The following is a 22,152-nucleotide window of genomic DNA, read 5'->3' as shown; positions in this document are numbered from 1 at the left end:
AGTAGCTGGGATTATAGGCATGTGCCTCCATGCCCAGCTAATTTTTGTATTTTTAGTAGAGATGACACTTCGCCATGTTGTCCAGGCTGGTCTTGAAGTCCCAGCCTCAGCTGATCCACCTGCCTCAGCCTCCAAACATGCTGGGATTACAGGCATGAGCCAGTGCACGCAGCCCTTGCTAAGTTCTGATCACTTAAGTTTTCAGCAAAAATTTCCTAACCAGATTCCATTTTACAAATCTGCCAAATAACCTGACTCTACAAAGCATGACCCATGCCTATGTCCCATTAAATACCTGTAGCTAGTGTCCTACACTTTAATATCCTCATGTACGTCAATTAATGCCAGTTAAATTGTGTTCTTCACAATAGTTGTGTTTGTTCCAAATTCTGTTTATACAATTTTCGTTTGCATTGTAAGTACATATTTAATCAAATGTTAAAACAACAATTATTTTATGTTCGAGAGGGCTTATGTTTTTATGAAATCTAAGACGAATCTGTTAGAAAGATCTAAACATTGAGTTGCAAAATAATATCTTCTATTTAGATGTAGATAAGAGTCTGGGAAAAACAAAACAAATTTTTACGATTATTTTATTTTTTCCTATCATTTTATTTATTTTTGAGGTTAGGTCATTTATTTATTTCAGATATAGTTATTGAGTACATTTTTTTCTGTTCCCCCATATCCTGGGGTACATTGACTTTTATTTTATTTTCCGTAAATTATTTGGGTACAGGTGGTATTTGGTTATATGATTAAGTTCTTTAGTGGTGATTTGTGAGATTTTGGGGCACCCATGACCCAGGCAGTATACACTGCACCATATTTATAGTCTTCTATCCCTCACCCCCCTCCCACTCTTCCCCCACATCCCCAAAGTCCATTGTGTCATTCTTATGCCTTTGTGTCCTCATAGCTTAGTTCCGACATATCGGTGAGAACATATGATGTTTGGTTTTCCATCCTGAGTTACCTCACTTAGAATAATAGTCTTCAATCTCATCCAGGTCACTACAAATGCTGTTAACTCATTCCTTTTAATGGCTGTGTAGTATTCCATCATATACTACTGTGCAGTATTCCATCATCACAGCTACTTTATCCACTCATTGATTGATGGGCATTTGGATTGGTTCCATGATTTTGCAATTGTGAATCATGCTGCTACAAACATGCGTGTGCAAATATCTTTTTCGAATAATAACTTATTTTCTTCTGAGTAGATACCCAGTAGCAGTATTTCTGGATCAAATGGTAGTTCTACATTTAGTTCTTAAAGGAATATCCACACTGTTTTCCATAGCAGCTATACTAGTTTACACTCCCACCAGCAGTATAAAAGTGTTCCCTGCAGCCACACCACCATCTACTGTTTTATTGATTTTTTGATTATGGCTACTCTTGCAGGAGTGAGGTGGTATCGCATTGAAGTTTTGATTTGCATTTCCTTTATCATTAGTGATGTTGAGCATCTTTTCATATGTTTGTTGGACATTTGTATATCTTCTTTTGGGAATTGTCTATTCATGTCCTTAGACCACTTTTTGATGGGATGGTTTTTTTTCTTACTGTTGTATTTGAGTTTGTTGTAGATTCTGGATATTAGTCCTTTGTCAGATGCATAGATTGTGAAGATTTTCTCCCACTCTGTGGGTTGTCTGTTTACTCTGCTGACTGTTCCTTTTGCTGTGCAAATGCTCTTTAGTTTAATTAGGTCCGAGCTATTTATCTTTGTTTTTACTGCATTTGCTTTTGGGTTCTTGGTCATGAAATCCTTGTTTAAGCCAATGACTAGAAGGGTTTTCCTGATGTTATCATCTAGAATTTTTATAGTTTCAAGTCTTAGGTTTATGTCTTTAATCCATTTTGAGTTGATTTGTGTATAAGGTGAGAGATGAGGATCCAGTTTAATTCTCCTACATGTGGCTTGCCAATTATCCCAACACCATTTGTTGAAGAGGGTTCCTTTCCCTACTTTATGTTTTCGTTTGCTTTGTTGAAGTTCAGTTGGCTGTAAGTACTTGGGTTTATTTCTGTGTTCTCTATTCTGTTCCATGGGTCTATGTGCCTATTTTTATACCAATCCCATGCTGTTTTGGTGACTATGGCCTTATAGTATAGTTTGAAATCAGGTAGTGTGATGCCTCAGATTTCTTCTTTTTGCTTAATCTTGCTTTGGCTATGTGGGCACTTTTTTGGTTCCACATCAATTTTAGAATTGTTTTTTCTAATTCTCTGAAGAATGATGGTGGTATTTTGATGGGAAGTGCATTGATTTGTAGATTGTTTTTGGCAATATGGTCATTTTCACAATATCAGTTCTACCCATCCATGAGCATGGGATTTGTTTCCATTTGTTCATGTCACCTATTATTTCTTTCAGCAGTGTTTGGTAGTTTTCCTTGTAGAGGTCTTTCAACTTCTTGGTTAGGTATATTCTTAAGTATTTTTTCTTTTTTTGCAGCTATTGTAAAAGGTGTTGAGTTCTCGATTTTATTCTTCACTTAGTCATTGTTGGTGTATAGAAGAGCTACTGATTTGTGCACATTAATCTTGTACCCAGAAACTTATGAATTCTTATATCAGTTCTAGGAGCTTTCTGGAGGAATCCTTAGGGTTTTCAAGGTAAACAATCATCTTGTTAGCAAACAGTGGCAGTTTGACTTCCTCTTTACCAATTTGGATGCCCTTTATTTCTTTCTCTTGATTGCTCTGATAAGGATTTCCAGTACTATGTTGAAGAGGAGTGGTGGGAGTGGGCATCCTTCTCTTGTTCCAGTTCTCAGAAGGAATGTTTTCAACTTTTTCCCATTCAGTATTGTGTTGGCTGTGGGTTTGTCATACATGGCTTTTATTACATTAAGATATGTCCCTTGTTTGCCGACATTGCTGAGAGTTTTAATAATAAAGTAATGCTGGATTTTGTTGAATGCTTTTTCTGCATCTATTGAAATGATTATGTGATTTTTATTTATTTATTTATTTTTATTATACTTTAAGTTCTAGGGTACATTTGCACAAGGTGCAGGTTTGTTACATATGTATACATGTGCCATGTTGGTGTGCTGCACCCATTAACTCATCACTTAACATTAGGTATATCTCCTAATGCTATCTCTCCCCCCTCACCCCACCCCACAACAGGCCCTGGTGTGTGATGTTCCCCTTCCTGTGTCCATGTGTTCTCATTGTTCAATTCCCACCTATGAGTGAGAACATGCAGTGTTTGGTTTTTTGTCCTTGTGATAGTTTGCTGAGAATGATGGTTTCCAGCTTCATCCATGTCTCTACAAAGGACATGAACTCATCATTTTTTATGGCTGCATAGTATTCCATGGTGTATATGCGCCACATTTTCTTAATCCAGTCTATCATTGTTGGACATTTGGGTTTGTTCCAAGTCTTTGCTATTGTGAATAGTGCCGCAATAAACATACGTGTGCATGTGTCTTTATAGCAGCATGATTTATAGTCCTTTGGGTATATACCCAGTAATGGGATGGCTGGGTCAAATGGTATTTCTAGTTCTAGATCCCTGAGGAATCGCCACACTGACTTCCACAATGGTTGAACTAGTTTACAGTCCCACCAATGTGTAAAAGTGTTCCTATTTATCCATATCCTCTCCAGCACCTGTTGTTTCCTGACTTTTTAATGATCGACATTCTAACTGGTGTGAGATGATATCTCATTGTGGTTTTGATTTGCATTTCTCTGATGGCCAGTGATGGTGAGCATTTTTTCATGTGTCTTTTGGCTGTTTAATATCTTCTTTTGAGAAGTGTCTGTTCATATCCTTCGCCCACTTGTTGATGGGGTTGTTTATTTTTTTTCTTGTAAATTTGTTTGAGTTCATTGTAGATTCTGGATATTAGCTCTTTGTCAGATCAGTAGATTGCAAAAATTTTCTCCCATTCTGTAGGTTGCCTGTTCACTCTGATGGTAGTTTCTTTTGCTGTGCAGAAGCTCTTTAGTTAATTAGATCCCATTTGTCAATTTTGGCTTTTGTTGTCATTGCTTTTTGTGTTTTAGACATGAAGACCTTGCCCATGCCTATGTCCTGAATGGTATTGCCTAGGTTTTCTTCCAGGGTTTTTATGGTTTTAGGTCTAACATTTAAGTCTTTAATCCATCTTGAATTAATTTTTGTATAAGGTGTAAGGAAGGGATTCAGTTTCAGCTTTCTACATATGGCTAGCCAGTTTTCCCAGCACCATTTATTAAATAGGGAATCCTTTCCCCATTGCTTGTTTTTCTCAGATTTGTCAAAGATCAGATGTTTGTAGATATGCGGCATTATTTCTGAGGGCTCTGTTCTGTTCCATTGGTCTATATCTCTGTTTTGGTACCAGTACCATGCTGTTTTGGTTACTGTAGCCTTGTAGTATAGTTTGAAGTCAGGTAGCATGATGCCTCCAGCTTTGTTCTTTTGGCTTAGGATTGACTTGGCAATGCAGGCTCTTTTTTGGCTCCATATGAACTTTAAAGTAGTTTTTTCCAATTCTGTGAAGAAAATCATTGGTAGCTTGATGGGGATAGCATTGAATCTATAAATTACCTTGGGCAGTATGGCCATTTTCACGATATTGATTCTTCCTACCCATGAGCATGGAATGTTCTTCCATTTGTTTGTATCCTCTTTTATTTCCTTGAGCAGTGGTTTGTAGTTCTCCTTGAAGAGGTCCTTCACATCCCTTGTAAGTTGGATTCCTAGGTATTTTATTCTCTTTGAAGCAATTGTGATTGGGAGTTTACTCATGATTTGGCTCTCTGTTTGTCTGTTGCTGGTGTATAAGAATGCTTGTGATTTTTGCACATTGATTTTGTAACCTGAGACTTTGCTGAAGTTGCCTATCAGCTTAAGGAGATTTTGGGCTGAGATGATGGGGTTTTCTAAATATACAATCATGTCATCAGCAAACAGGGACAATTTGACTTCCTCTTTTCCTAATTGAATACCCTTTATTTCCTTCTCCTGCCTGATTGCCCTGGCCAGAACTTCCAACACTATGTTGAATAGGAGTGGTGAGAGAGGGCATCCCTGTCTTGTGCCAGTTTTCAAAGGGAATGCTTCCAGTTTTTGCCCATTCAGGATATTGGCTGTGGGTTTGTCATAAATAGCTCTTATTATTTTGAGATACGTCCCATCAATACCTAATTTATTGAGAGTTTTTAGCATGAAGGGTTGTTGAATTTTGTCAAAGGCCTTTTCTGCATCTATTGAGATAATCATGTGGTTTTTGTAATTGGTTCTGTTTCTATGCTGGATTACGTTCATTGATTTGCATATGTTGAACCAGCCTTGCATCCCAGCGATGAAGCCCACTTGATCATGTTGGATAAGCTTTTTGATGTGCTGCTGGATTCAGTTTGCCAGTATTTTATTGAGGATTTTTGCTTCGATGTTCATCAGGGATATTGGTCTAAAATTCTCTTTTTTTGTTGTGTCTCTGCCAGGCTTTGGTATCAGGATGATGCTTGCCTCATAAAATGAGTTAGGGAGGATTCCCTCTTTTTCTATTGATTGGAATAGTTTCAGAAGGAATGGTACCAGCTCCTCCTTGTACCTCTGGTAGAATTCGGCTGTGAATCCGTCTGGTCCTGGACTTTTTTTGGTTGGTAAGCTATTAATTACTGCCTCAATTTCAGAGCCTGTTATTGGTCTATTCAGAGATTCAAATTCTTCCTGGTTTAATCTTGGGCGGGTATATGTGTCGAGGAATTTATCCATTTCTTCTAGATTTTCTAGTTTATTTGCATAGAGGTGTTTATATTATTCTCTGATGGTAGTTTGTATTTCTGTGGGATTGGTGGTGATATCCCCTTTATCATTTTTTATTTCCTCTATTTGATTCTTCTCTCTTTTCTTCATCAGTCTTGCTAGTGGTCTATCACTTTTGTTGATCTTTTCAAAAAACCAGGTCCTGGATTCATTGATTTTTTGAAGGGTTTTTTGTGTCTCTATTTCCTTCAGTTCTGCTCTTAGTTGTGATTTTTGTTTTTAATTCTGTTTATGTGGTGTATCACATTTATTGACTTGCGTTCTGTTTATATGGTGTATTACATTTATTGACTTGCATATGCTAAACTATCCCTGCATCTTTGGTATGAAACCCACGTTATCATGGCAGATTATCTTTTTGATATGTTGTTGGATTTAGTTAGCAAATATTTTATTAAGGATTTTAGCATCTGTGTTCATCAAGGCTATTGGTCTGTAGTTTTCTTTTTGGGTTATGTCTTTTCCTGGTTTTGGTATTAGGGTGATGCTGGCTTCATAAAATAAATTAAGGAGGGTTCTTTCTTTCTCTATCTTGTGGTATTGTTTCAAAAGGATTAGTACCAATTCTTTGAATGTTTGGTAGAATTCTGCTGTGAATCCATCTGGTCCTGGACTTTTTTTGTTGGCAATTTTTAAATTACCATTTCAATCTTGCTGCTTGTTATTAGTCTGTTCAGGGTATCTAATTCTTCCTGATTTAAGCTAGGAGGGTTGTATTTTTTCCAGGAATTTATCCATCTCTTCTAGGTCTTCTAGTTTATGTATGTAAAGGTGTTCATAGTAGCCTTGAGTGATCTTCTGTATTTCAGTGGTGTCAGTTGTAATATCTCCTGTTTTGTTTCTTAGTGGGGTTATTTGGATTTTCTCTCTTCTTTTCTTGGTTAATCATGCCAATGGTCTATCAATTTTATTTATTTTTTCAAAGAACCAACATTTTGTTTCATCTTTTGTATTGTACAAAAGAAATTTTTAGTCTTCACAAAAGATTTTATTTGTTGTCCCTCTTTAAATGAATTTATGCTAAAATTCATAAGTACACAAAAAAATTCAGATCTCCAATCAGTGGAACCATACTAAAATAAGAGGCCTTCACCCTCCAAACATTGGAAATAGAATGTGTGTGTATATGTGTGTGTGTATCACACACATATACATCTAATAATCTTCCCACCTTGGCCTCCTGAGTAGCTGGGACTACAAGCACTATCCATTGTGTCTGACTCCATGATAAATACTTTCAATTAAAATAAAATGCTTAAGCTATATATGTCATTTTATATGATTTTCTAATGTCTTCAATTAAGTGACCAGCTAGTGGCCCTAACGTACCAGTATAGCTACAAAATTTTAGCTTCTTAGAAGTTAGTGTGTCTAGTTTCTACCTGAACAATGCATAACTTTAGATTTTTTAAAGTTTTTCAATATGGATTTTAAAATCAGTAGTAACAGGTACTCGTTCTGGTGACTCTCCAGACTTTTGGGGTTTTATATATTGTAAATACTTATTGATCGAGATATAATTCATTGTCATTATAGCATGCTGTGTCTGTGTCTAATCTCTGTGGCTACATACATGGACACAAATATTTTGTTAAAATAGTTTCCATTTCTGAGAATAACATTAATAAAATCAATTTGAAAATATTTAAAAATACTTTATAATTCATAAAACTATAATATTGAGTTTTGATATCATATTTATATTTTTTAAACTGCAAGTGATGCTGACTTATGGATAACTGATTTGCATATGTTCTCCACATGTTAACATTTGCCAGGTTAAGCCAAGTGTCCAATGGGCTAAGAAAACTCTTCATGTTTCCCTTTCACTATATTATATTTTTCATTTTTTTCTCCATATTTCTAGGCCATTGGCCCTATTTATAATCCAAGCTCAAGTATATGATTTCAGAATGTTATATGTGGAAGGAGAAAAGAACAGAGAGATGGAAGATCACTGCATATACATGATTTTGCAGGTTGTTCACTGCAAAAGGACACCTGGCTGCAGGGTGTGGTGTGGCTGAAATCCAGCTCATGATCCTACCACTATGTGTTCCCTAGCATAGGGCCACATCTGCCATGAGAAAGTAGTACCTTTTTCTAACATACACCCAGGTGACAAATGATCTGGGACAATTTTCATAGCTATTACTCACTCTGTCTCGTATTTGGACTGAGTTTTCAGCCCTCATTCTGGTCTTCTCCAACAAACAAGGAATCCAATTAACTTATCAAATTAACAATCCAAAATCCATTTAATCTATGATTTTCTGGGAAATGCATTTGGATCTAATTCAGGACTGCATGTTCCCAAAGACTTATTTCATTTACATGAAAACTAAGGAAGATCTATGTGAACAGGAGGAGAAGATGGAATGCTGTGAGGAGCTTTTTAACCATATGTCTATTTCTTTCTGTTTATTACAGCAATAAAAGCTTCTTAAAACACCATTTTGGCATTTTTTTCTGAAAGAGAGAGTGAAGGAAAATCTACAAACCGCATTGTGATCTAAACAAGACCGTCGGGACTAGAGAAGCATGGCCAGGAGAAGGGACAGGGGAGAAAATGTGGAAGGAGAGGAAGGAAGGATAATCCTGAGACTCTCAAAAGCAAATAATTGGAAAAAGTGGAATAGAGAACTGGCTTGAGTTTACAAATGAATAAATAAAACCCAGATTTTTGTACTGACTGGTGTCGTGATACTCTTACCTCTGCAAACCCACAGGCAGTTGCTTCAGACTTTTCCAAACACTAGAAAACCTCTTGAAGAAATTTCATAATGTAACAGAAAGAAGATTTATTTTCACATTTATCAGTTCTGGATTTCAAACATGACATTTACCAAAAGTCTAATCTTGGAATGGTAAACGTTTGAGATTGAGTTTCTGTATTAATAAAGCAAATATACTTTTCTGATAGAGGTTTTGAGAAGTAAATGAGACAATGTGTGTGAAAGTAACTAGAAAGTAGCTGACACAGAGCAGATGTTCAATAAATGCTGATTTTTCCCTTACCCAATCTTCTGGACAAAGCAAAGAAACCAAGGCACATTTGGGCCGGGCATGGTGGCTCACATCTGTAATCCCAGCACTTTGGGAGGCCGAGGAAGGCAAATCACAAGGTCAGGAGTTCGAGACCAGCCTGGCCAACACGGTGAAACCCTATCTCTACTAAAACTACAAAAAATTAGCCAGGCTTCATGGTGGGAGCCTGTAATCCTGGCTACTCAGGAGGCTGAAGCAGGATAATGACTTGAACCCGGGAGGTGTAGGTTGCAGTGAGCCAAGATTGCTCCACTGTACTCCAGCCTGGGCGACAGTGAGAGGCTCCATCTCAAAAAAAAAAAAAAGAGGGAAAAAAGAAACCAAGGCACATTTGAAGCTAAAGGAATATCCATTTATGTTGTTCAATGGGTCAGGGTGTAGTGATCATGGGGTGAGGAGTAGCCCCTCATTTTCAGAAGCAGAGAAGGATACCTTAAGTCTTCCATCGCGCTTTGCCCTGGGAACCTAAGCAGTTAATACTATTTTCTTGAGGGGAGGGGAATACTTAAGATTTCAAATTTATGATACCATGAATCTATATAATTTTTAAACTATAAACATGCATAGTCTATTTGCAAGTGGGGTAAAACTTTGTGGAATATAAAATTACCTTTATAATAAAAAAAAGCAATGTAGTTACAATAACAATAATAAAAATCAGATTTACAAAAAATTTGAAAATTACTTTCTCAAATAATTATTATGTCTGTAAATATTGTTTCCTGATGTATTTAAAATACAGCTCAGCTTATACAAATCTATATTAATAATAAAGCTCTTATTAATATGTTAATGTCTATATTAATAAGGATCTTAATATAGATATAGATATATAGAATATGTAGGGAGAATATATAGAATATAGAATTCTAGATAAAATATAGAATTCTAGATAGAATATAGAGATATAAATATCACTTCATGAGGCCCATTAGCATCCATAAAGATTAAGATCTAAGATATTTAATTCATAATCCTGGTATCTCAACAGATTTATTAGTGCAACATAGTTTATTTTAAAATGAAAATTAAAATATTACAGGTAAATATGTTTTCATTTTCTTGAGATAATCACACACACACACACACACCCCACATTCTCACAAATGCATCTGTAAATGTGTGATTACAGACAAATTAAGGACATTCAAACGTCAGAATAAGAAAAACAAACCTTTATTGACATGGTTCACTCTCTTAGCTCTAGCCACTTTTTAGGAAGTTATTATTAAAGTGATTTATAAGATATTTTAAAAAGAAATAATAGTTAATCTTTACACAGATTTAAAAATTCATATCGTATATCTGTTATGCCAATATTTTTGCCTCTTTTTCTGTTTTACAGTATCAGAAAGAGTATTGCATGTTCTACGACTGTGCTATCCCATAGGGTAGCCGCTAGCCACATGTAGCTATTGAGCATTTAAAATGTGGCAAGATCAAATAGAGATACGCTGTAAGTGTACAATAACACTGGATTTTGAAGACTTAATATGAAAACAAAATATGAAAAAGGTATAAAGTGTCTAATTAGTAATTTTTATGTTGGTCACATATTAAATTAGTTATGTGTATGTGTTACATAAAATATATTATTTAATTTTTTCCTTTTTTTTTTTTTTTTTTTTTTGAGACGGACCCAGGCTGGACTGCAGTGGCACAATCTCGGCTCACTGCAAGCTCCACCTCTCTGGTTCACGCCATTCTCCTGCCTCAGCCTCCGGAGTAGCTGGGACTACAGGCACCCGCCACCAAGCCCGGCCAATTTTTGTTTGTATTTTTAGTAGAGAAGGGGTTTCACCATGTTAGCTAGGATGGCCTTGATTTCCCGACTTCGTGATCCGCCCGCCTCGGCCTCCCAAAGTGCTAGGATTACAGGCGTGAGCCACCACGCTGGCCTTATTTTTTACTTTTTAAATGTATGTGCTAGAAAATTTAAAATGATATATGTGGCTTGCATTATATTTCTGTAAGTGTCAGCCTAAGATACTTCCTCAAACCATATATTATTACACCATGATACTTTATGAATTATAGCCTGTTTTATGATTTAAAGTCTTATTTCTCTTTTTATAGACATCAGATATACAAAGGAAATGAATTCAGTGGTCATTGGTCACGACAGCATTACCAAATTATATAGACACACACACACATATATATGTATATATATGTGTATATATATATACCAAATTATATAGACATATATATAGATACTAATTACTTTTGCAACAGTCAATCCTGCTTCTTTATGTCCTCTTGTTAGACATACTCAAGATGTCACCATTCACAAAGAAACCCTTTGGCCTTATTTACTTTTACACACTAATGACCTGGCCTTAGAATTTGGAAGCAAGTAAGAACCTCTTTTCTATTTTCACTTCTTCCCCCTTTCTCCCTCCCCTACATACCTAACTGACTACTTCTATTATTTTGGGCTCTATCTTTGTTCATTTTATCCCTCCGAATGTGAAGAAACTTTCCATGCAGAAGGCATTCCCAAAAGTATGTATTGCCAAAGTTCATGAAAACTGTCAAATCTAAGATGGCAAGGACTTATGCTAATGCACTCCTATGGGTAGAAGACAGGAATGGTGGATCACAACATCCAATACGAATTGCTTCTTTATTAAAAATATTGTTTTAGGTTTTTAGAAATCAAATTGTATTATAATTGTACCTATTTATTTTGCTATAAACATATGTACTTATTATAGAATGTCTAGAATATACAGAAAAACAGGAAAAAAGACAATCAATAGCACCAAGCAGCAATAATCATTGTTAACAGTTTGGTTATAAATAATATTCATAGCGAAACATAAGAGTTCGCATTTTTAAAAGTTCTACTTTGGAAATTTTAGTAGAAATTACTTTTATTAAAATGAATAGTATTTATAATTTAGCATTTCTCTAGATTTAAATGTTCACATATTTGGTTTGCTTAGAGAAAAAAGTTTCAAATTTATTTTTATATATTAAGTTTGCTTCAAATGTGAGAAAATGAAATTATGCAATTTTATTTTTTAGGTGAAGAGAAATCCAACTTTCCTTCTAAATGTCAGGAGACACAATACTAAAAGTTAATTGCAATAATAGGAAATATAGTTTATGTTGTGACAAAATAAAGAAGCAATGGTCATTTGTGAGAAGTAGAAAGAGGTAGAGAAAAGAGCTCTATAAAGAGCTTCAGTAGTTGCCTGGGTTACTGATGAAAAGCTCCATCTACTCATGGGGAATTTGAATAGATGAGTGTTCCATTATTAAAAGGTGTTTAATTTTATCTTATCTACTTCTGAGGGATTTGAATTAATTAAATAAATTCTTAATTTATTTTAATTTAATTATTATCTAGCAGCTGGATAATTATTTAAATAAGCAGTACTTTAACTTTACATAACTAATATACTGTTCACATTTATCATATTATTAATAAAATCAGAAGGCTAAATTCTGAGTAAGAAATTAAACTATATACTTTCTACAAAGTATGTTTGAAGTATTCTATAGATATAAATATCTTTGTCAAAGTCAAAACTGATTGAAAACAAAATCAGTGATTCTGTAGTGCATTGTTATACTATAACATTATATTTTAATGACATTTCTAGCCATAATAGTTATGAGGTAAATTATTAAAGCTTCTCTGGTAATAATATTAGAAGCTCTTTTCAGAGACTGTTAATGAAATCATTAAATTTTACATAGCCATCACACATTTCTATTACTAATTATTACTCTAGCAAAAAGGTATACTATGAAATCATAAGTAAACAGTTATAAAAAAAGAAGCTTCATGGCAAATAAATTGAAGATTCTTGAATTGTAAAAAAAAATTGTCACAGAAAAGTCTATGTTGAGATACTGGATTATATTTAAGTAATCTTAATAAATATTATTTAGAAAACAATAAAATACATATATTCTGAATTTGTACCTTTAGATGATCAATATCACCATAAATCCTTTCATAGTAAAAAAATATATATTACAGATAAAGCTGAAAAAAGTGGTAAACAGGCCCATAAGAAGCCTTGGGAACATTTGCAGATGGCAGTAGTCAAAGTGCTTGAGTTTTAATGACAAAAGTAAGAGTAAAGGGAAAATAATGTCAATGAAGACTATCAATGAAAATGTGAATTAAAAATATCTTTCCACACATGAAATGAGTCATTCTGGAAACTATCTTTATGCTTGGGCTCTGGGTAGGAAAATAAAAGCAACTCTCCTCTGAACATATATAAATAGTGGCCTGCACTCACAAAAGACTTTGGAGTGGAGACAGTGAGAAATCCAGGAAATGTGTGTTCTAATGCTGCAGGTGGTGGGTGAGAGCACAGGTCCCTTTCAACCCATGCTTGAGAATCCGTTCTCAGTGTCTGATGTGTGTTTAAACTGACATCCACAGACATATGCATCTGTGCAGCAACAGAGCACTCTGGTAGAGATCTGAAAAACCAGAACATCCCCAACATGTATAGACTGTCAGCATTGCAAAGAAGTGGAAATGTATTTGAAAAGATCTATTCTATACAATACTCCCAAATAATGAAAACATTCCTCATATTAATTTATTTCCATTATTACTGTCACCACTACTTCTTATCTCCATTGCCTCTCATCTCTTTGCCTCTGGTACTACCAAAATAGACTCCTAATTGTTCTGGTTTTCTAGTACCTCTCTCCTTTCAACTATCACTCATATTGCTCTGCTATTCCCCTAAAACTTTGACTTTTTCAGGTCTCTTCTGTTATTCAAAACCTTTAATGATGTCACATTATCTGTAAGTTAAAGCCCAAGCATATGAATATGGTATTTAAAATGCCTGAGACTACAGAAAGTCTGACTGATCTCCCAATGTTCATGAATATGCATCTGATTAAATTGGGCTGTTTGATCAACTATTCTAAAGCAAGATCTGAAAACCATATATTGGCTTATGCTATTTTTCCTGCCTCACATTATCAGTCCTACTTTGGGTTAAACCATATCCAAAAAATCCTCTCTCCTATTCAGTTTCCACTGTGTGTGTTGATATTTATTATGTTAGATAATATATATGTCCATGAGATAGTGAAAATCATTTTAAGACATCATATTTTGATCTATCTCATTTGTTTAAAAATCATACTTTTTGTATTTTTCTAATTATTAAATCTTTGAGATCAACAAACTGTCCTACATAGTAAGGAGTACAGTGTAGTTACTGAAGCATTTGACTTTAAGTGATTTTATTTTATTTTGTTTTTTGAGATGGAGTCTTGCTCTGTCACCCAGGCTGGAGTGCAGCAGCACGATCTCGGCTCACTGCAACCTCAGCCTCCTGGTTCAAGAGATTCTCCTGCCTCAGCCTCCTAGGTAGCTGGGATTACAAGCGCCTGCCACTGTGCCTGGCTAATTTTTGTTCTTTTAGCAGAGACGTGGTTTCATCATGTTGTCCAGGCTGGTCTTGAGCTCCTGACCTCAGGTGGTCAGCCCACCTCAGCCTCCCAAAGTGCCAGGATATGGGTGTGAGCCACTGTGTCCGGCCTGACTTTAAGTGATTTAAAAATGTATTTCTTTTCATTGCCACAACAAAAGCAACTAGCATGGTGTTCTGTACACAGATGTTAAAAATATGAAGAGACAAATTTCATATTTCTTATGAAAAAAATTTATTTTTGAAATGAAAAAATGTTGAAAAAACTAGGTATTCACAAAGGAGACCATTGGTAGAATGAACACCCAGTGCGCAGCCCTTTGTTCCTAGGTACAGACAGCAGACTCTTGCGATCTAACTTAAATAAAAAGTCGTTTATCAGAGGGTGTTAGGAAGCTCTAGTAGGGCCATAAAACTAGAATTCAATACTATAGAGCAAGAAAATAGAGTAGCCAGCGGAAATGCCCACTCACAACACAGAGCTCTTCTAAAGGAAACCTCACTCCTGCTGCTCTGTGCCACTCATCACGTGTGAAACAGGGGATGAACTTTAGAACCACCATGCTCATCACCATGGTTGCAAGGAGAGCTGCTCCTGACTTCTTCCAGATACTGCAGAGAAATATATACTGGGCAGAATGGAGGCCACAATCAAAATTAAAACTTTTACAAAGGATTCTAGAACATGTAGTCTTTAGCTGTTTTTAGCTTTCACAGGTTGGTTAGAAGTGCTTGGAAGAGGCATTGAGCCATATAATCTACAGTATTCATCATTCACCAAAATTTTTTCTTACAGTTGTATTAATAAGAACAATACATATGATGACAAACTTAATAAGAAGGAGGGAAATTATACTTGAATTGCATTTATCAGTGATCATTCCATTTCTCACACCCCATGTAGTAGAAAGCTTGCCGCATGCATACTGAGAATTAAACATGATGACCAAAAATAAAAATTAGTTGATAGATTCTACAAATCTTTTACTCTTGGTGATTCACTGAAGAGAACAGACTTTCAAACTTCTTTAACTATTGCTGTCCTTAATGCCGTGCTAATGTTTTCCTTATTTAACCTCACCTTAAATCCAAATTGCCTTTATTCTCTCAGGATTGTGAGTTTAAGACAGTATAGCCTTTCAGCATTATTAATGGTTGATTTATTGCAACGATGCAATTCTGTAAAACATCTACTCAAAGATAGCAAAGCAATAGCTTGTGTTTTAATCAGGAGATTTATCAATAAATGTATTAATATATTTTAAGATTGAATCAATGACAGCATTTTCCTCAAACAGAGAGAATTAATGCCAAATGTTAATACAACCCAGATGTACTGAGCAGCAAAGAGTTAAATTATTTTCTTTTGGAAGAAAAAAGTCATAACTTTGGTCTAAGGGTAAACACTGACATCAAAATATTCATTCACTCATCAACAATATTTTCAAGGGCTTGCAAATTCTAGATATTTGTTGGGTACTAAAAAATAAGATGGTTCCATTCCAAAGAAATTTTAAGTCTAGTGGACAAATTGACCCTTAAGCTATTAATTATGACACAGCATAATGAGTGTTAAGATAATACAAGGAAAGCCAGGCATGGTGGCATGTGCCTTTAGTCTCAGCTACTCGAATGGCTGAGGTTGAATGATCACTTGAGCCCAGGAGTTTGAGTCCAGCCTGGATAATATAATGAGACCTTGTCCCCTGTGCCCCCTCACCCCAAAAAATAAGGCGATTAACAAAATAAGATAGGACAGGAGTTGGAAAACTTTAGACCGCGGACCAAATCTGACCCAAGGCCCATTTTTTTTTATAACACTACAACTAAGGGTGATTCTTACACTGTTAAAGGCATTAAAAAGAAGAAGGAGGCGGATATGTAACAGAGGCACTATATGACCTACAAAGCTAATATTTAGTATCTGCTCTTTAGCAGAAAATATTTCTTGACCCCCAGAGAGACAAAGAGGCATCTCTGCAAGCAAGAAAGAGCAATAGAATCTCAATTGGTCCAGAAAACATTATCTTAACAATAGTAAATATACTGAAATGAGGGGTAAGTAACTTCTCCAGGAAGAAGGAACAACATGTGTAAAAGCCCTCAATGGCGATAGTGACACTAGAAGAACTAATAAAAGTCCAGGTTGGCAGAAACATGAACAAAAAGAGAAGAATTATTAAAATTAAAACTTTGAGATATAGGTATGGCCCAGATACAAATGTCCTTTCAAACTACATTAAAGATTTTGCATTTTACCTGAATAACAATGAGAGGACATAGACTATTTCTAAGTGGGTGAATAACAAGAAAAACTTTAAAACTGATTAGCATAGCTAACAATATATGAGAGAGTCAGAAACAGAGAGATTAGTAATAAATAGGGCTATAAAGTATGTGACAGAAAATTCTAGTACTAGGTAAGAAAATAAGCAAACAGACACATTATGGTAAAACTTCTTTAAGCCAAAGACAAGGAGAAAATATTGAAACCAGCAAGCAAAAGCCTTGTCACTTATAAGTGAATCCCAATAAAATTAACAGCTGTCTTCACATCAGAAACAATAGAAGCCAGAAGAAAGTGGGATTGCATTTTTAACTTACACAAAATAACCCAATTTCAGCTTCAAATCCTACACCCTGCAAAGCTGTCTTTCAAAAGTAAAGGAGAAATGAAGAAATTCTCAGTACAAGAAAACCTGGCAGTATTTGTTACTAGCATATACTCCCTCAAAGAAATACTAAAAAAAGTTCTTCAGGCTGCAAACAAGCATCCCCAGATAGTAATTTGAATCCACATGAAAAATCAAAAAGTACCACTAAAGGTAAATGTGTAATTGTAAAAGGTAGGAGAAATGCATATTTCTTATCCATTCTTCTCTTACTCATAAAGAGTGATTGTGTGAAATAATATGTGTATAATGTTGTTGGATCTATAACATATAGAAATATAATATATTTGCCAATAGCAGCATAAGAAAGCAGGTGGGAGAAAACTGATATTGAACTAAGGAAAGCATATCAGATGACAACTCAAGTCCACAGGAACAAATAAAAATGACTAGAAATGGTAAATATGATGTCTAATATAATGAACCCTATAAATATATATTTGATCTCTTTTTTCTTTGTTTTTGAGACATAACTTTATATAAAATAATAATGTATTGTTAAATTTGTAACATATGTAGATGCAATATGTATAATAATAATAACATATAAAGGAGGAAATGGAAATAGAGCTACATGAGTCACATTTAAAACTGGAATTAAGTTAGTAAAAATCTGAAGTAGATTCTGCTAAATTGAAATTTATATGGTAAGACCTAAAGCAACCATAAAAAGTAACAAATATGGTGAAAAATTATTAAAAGAATTAATATGCTACACTAGAAAATATTGTCCAAGACAAAAGAGACCAGTGAAGGATGAATGAAGGAATAAAAAGGCATCACCATCACAGGTACTTGAATCACTGGCACCTCGAGGTATCAAACCGGTTCTGGGATGCTCAAGAGTGTCTCATGGGACTAAGACTTTTGATTCCCTGAAGAGTAAATTGAACTGGAAGAGATTGATGTCAAAAAATTGAAGGGATGTAGAGCCTATGTATTTTGTGACTGAAACACTCCACATTTGGTTTGAGATAACTAGATATAATTTTGACTATTACTGTTATTATTATGATTTTCACATACTTTATCTTTCTGCACTAAATATGTTGCTGTAATTTTTTTAGTTTTTCCAATTAACATGTTTGCTATATCAAATCCTACCTGGAGAAAGATGGGGGCATACTGACATAAGCAAGAAAACAACAAAATATGCATAAATAGTTAAATGTTTGCCAAGTCAGTTTACCATTTTTTCTTATATCCATGATACACATGGGAACAGGTTGATTAGTGACCTAAGCTGGTTGTCGCTTTCAAGTTGGCCACATCTTGAAAGAATAACAACTGGGAAGACTTTAGCCGATGTGATATAAACTGGACACACCCAAATTATAAGCAACACTGTACATATTCATTATAATAAGGTTCCCTTGGCATATGAAGCAAAAGTAGGAAGATGTAAGAAGTTAACAAAGCAAATAGAGTCAGATACAAGCTTTACTTATTTCATTGATTGCCAAGGATTAATCCTAAACTCTATCAAGCTTTTGAATAATTAACTAAATCCCTCTGAAACCCTATCCACTGTACATTCTTAAAATAAGATCAAAACACACATAATTATGCTTGGAAATCATACTACTGCTAATTTTCAAACCAGATAATAAAAGTGTAATTTGAGCTACATTCTCTACATTCTCTGATAAAAATTCAAACTAAATCTTGACTAAACAGTCAGGAAGTATTATAATCCAATTCCTCTCTTTGATATATCAAGTTTGTCACTACCATAAAAGAAAATTAGATGAATTTGACAGGACTTATTCTTCACGTAGGTATATTTATTTATAAAAACTACAGTCTTTCAGAACTCATAGGGCTTTGATGATTATCAGATGAAATTGTCATTCTTCTCTAAGGAGGTTAAATATTTTCTAAAACTATGAAAGTACCACACATTTATATGTTTGGGAATAGGTGAGAAAACAATATTATTTTGACTTATTCAATAGACTCACAGATTGTCCAATGCTATCGGTAGTTTAACAAACACCACCGTTTATTTTTCAAGATATTTACAAAAAAGAACTTGAATTCAATATTAGTCTAGGAAACAGTATGTTAACTGTCTCAGTACCTTTTTAGCTCTTTGATGCAAAATTTTAGTACTTTTGATTGATATTTTAGATCAAGAGACAGATTATCATTAGTAATCAAACATATTAAAACACATAATCATTCTCCCCTTTCCAAATTTCAAATTCTTTTGGATCCCCTAATTTAAAATATCTTTATGATGGTCTCTTTCCTCTTTTCTAATCACCTCAAAAATATTAATATAATGATAGATGGGCAAAGATTGGATATTATATTTTTATTAAAAGCATGGAAGAGAGGCAAGGATCAAAATTTGATATTTCTGATAAAAAGTGGGAAACCTGTGACAAAACCATGACAAATCCAAAACAACCATAAAAAATAAAGCAACCATGAAAAATAGCAAATATGGTGAAAAATTATTATAAGAATTAATATGCTACGTTAGAAAAAATTGTCCAAAACAAAAGAGACCAGTGAAGGATGAATGAAGGAACAAAAAGGCATCATCATTACAGGTACTTGAATCACTGGGACCTGGAGGTATCAAACTGGTTCTGGGATGCTCATCTGTTTCTATGTAATAAACATGGGGAATTTAGAAATATTCAATTCCCGATTTTTTACAAGTCAGTTTACTACTTGCCTTCCATTTGTACTTTTGGTTAAAAAAATGCCATTTATAACTAATTAGGAAAAAAATGTCATAAACAAAAACATAATATTACAAATATTCAAATTTATGAGCAAAAATAGTTATTTGACTAAACATGGATTAAATGCTACATCTCAAAAACATGATAAATAAAATATAAATGCAAGCAGTAGAAGGAAATTTGGAAGAAATACGAGAAAGGTTTTAGATTCTCACCAAATTTAAGTGGTTTATTAGAGTATCCCTGCTTTTTAAAGCATAAACTTGCCTCTAATGATATTTACTTTTTTTCAGTAAAAGAACTCCTGGTATGCTGAACCTCGTTTTCCTGTGTTACAGTGTTTCCCTCAAAGGATACCTTAGCCAGATTTCATAACTAGTCTGCCATGTTTTTATTATTAAAATAGTAGCTGTCTAGAATTTACCAATCAGATTCATTCGTTTTAGAACTTTAATCTCAAACTTAAATTAAAAATGTCCCTCACTATAATTGTGGCTTTGCAGACTTGGGGTAGAAGTATTTCTTTCAAACACTTCCTCTTCCATTATAATCTAAGTTCTGGCTCCTTCACTGGCTGTGAGGAAAGAGAGTCGAGGTCGCCATCCTCTCTCTGTTATCTGTGGCTGTCTCTCATGTAGCAATTGTGTTTCCTTACCAAAAGAGACCTAAAGCTCTGGCCCATCCTACCACAGTTCCTCTTGGTTTAGCAACCCTTGTTAAATTGGCTTTCATAGATGGACAAATCATGCAAAATGACTCAATACCACCTACACTTTTTGTGTACACATAATCCAGGAAATCCGTGCATCCTTGCTATGCTGAATATTGAAAATGTAGGTGCTTCACTGCTGCTTTCTCTTATCTAGGCCTCACTCATTCTCCATAATTATTTTTTTCCATGGCTAATATATGTAGCACAAGTACAGATTAGCAAACTTGCTGCTTAAATAGTTATCCACCCAGGAAAAAGGAAAAGAAAAAAATGGTTTTTTTCCTTTTCTCCTGTGTGAGTGGCTATACCCTCTAGTATTTATCCTTTTCAGTTTGGCCCTTATAGTAACTGTCAGGGTGGAGCAAGTGCGGAACAGTTAAAGGGAGTAGAGAGAGATGTTAAAAGTAAGGTTAGTCCTGAGACCACACTTCAAGCCAGTACAGTATCATTTTTAATAAAAAGCAGGAAATAATCTAAATGTCCAATTCAAATGTTATTATCAAATAAATTAGAGAATATTTATATGAAGAAATATTGTATAAAATATTACAACTATGAAGAATTTCAATTCCAATAATATAACAGAATGCAAACAAAATGATCTAAATTGCATTAAACTTACCATGACCTGGAGGAAATTTTTTCCATTTAAGGAGTGCAATTAGCTCATATATGGATAAAGTAGGCCATTCCTCATAATAAGGACACATACGGATTAATTTCAACTTTTGCATATTTTCAAGTTTTATTTTTTCCTAAAACAGAATGTCATTATCAAATTTTTAATAACAGGCAATTTAAAATCAAAGAAATAGCAAATAGATAAATGGTGAGAGAAGTAAAATAAAGGCCATATGAATATAAGTTAGTATAGAATACATTTGAATTTTATCTGAGCATCACTCTATGGCCACATAGACATATTAAAATGTTAATCTTCAGATCTACTTACTAAAATTATATTTGCTCACCTTTCATAATTTATTATACTTCTATAAATGTTTTAGAAGTTTTTAAAAACCCTGTCATAGTCAAGATTAAACTAAAAAGTTGTGTTTGATAAAATCAAGTAACTGGTACTGATATTTGGGAAATAAAAACAAAACATAAAGAATTTTTTGTTAAAGCTAGCCACTCTGAAAATCAAAACAAATAAACATCAGGGATTTGGAATAACGTTGAATTCTGAGAGAATTACCTGCACTACTGACACTGGGACCACTAAATCACAAGAATTCCCCACCACTGGAGACCCAAGAAGATGGATGTCTTCTCAACACCACTCCACATGAGCACTGAACCATGGCTTATGCCAGCTTTCTGCAGGACCTGCACCTGGCTTAAGCTCATTCAAAAAAAGATGAAACAGCAGGATCATGGAAACCTTTGAATCCCATTATTTTTTATTTATTTATTTATTTTTGAGACGGAGTTTCACTCTTGTTGCCCAGGCTGGAGTGCAATGGTGCGATCTTTCCTCACCACAAACTCCACTTCCTGGGTTCAAGCAATTCTCCTGCCTCAGCCTCCCGAGTAGCTGGGATTACAGGCATGCACCACCATGTCCGGCTAATTTTGTATTTTCAGTAGAGACAGGGTTTCTCCATGTTGGTCAGGCTGGTCTCGAACTCTCGACCTCAGCTGATCTGCCTGCCTTGGTCTCCTAAAGTGCTGGGATTACAGGGATGTGCCACCAAGCCCGGCTAATTTTGTCTTTTTAGTAGAGAAGGGGTTTCTCCATGTTGGTCAGGCTGGCTCGAACTCCCCACCTCAGGTGATACACCCTCCTCGGCCTCCCAAAGTGCTGAGATTACAG

At 34.8% G+C, this 22,152-nt stretch overlaps 1 protein-coding gene across 3 annotated transcripts in view; it reads right to left on the bottom strand.

Moving 5' to 3' along the window:
• CNBD1 (cyclic nucleotide binding domain containing 1) overlaps nucleotides 1-22,152 on the bottom strand; it is a 562,238-nt gene that overhangs the window by 121,023 nt on the left and 419,063 nt on the right. For 2 of the 3 annotated variants that reach the window (NM_173538.3, XM_017013149.2), the window contains exon 8: nucleotides 20,959-21,091. In NM_173538.3, the coding sequence (NP_775809.1) occupies nucleotides 20,959-21,091 (133 nt within the window). Of the gene's footprint in view, nucleotides 1-20,503; nucleotides 21,092-22,152 lie in introns of those variants that run through there. The other variant, XM_047421411.1, reaches the window with a different exon arrangement.

Source organism: Homo sapiens, chromosome 8 (genome assembly GCF_000001405.40).
Source record: "Homo sapiens chromosome 8, GRCh38.p14 Primary Assembly".
NCBI lineage: Eukaryota > Metazoa > Chordata > Mammalia > Primates > Hominidae > Homo > Homo sapiens.
Note: the sequence above shows the minus strand (reverse complement) of the source record. Positions and strands in the feature narration are given on the sequence as shown.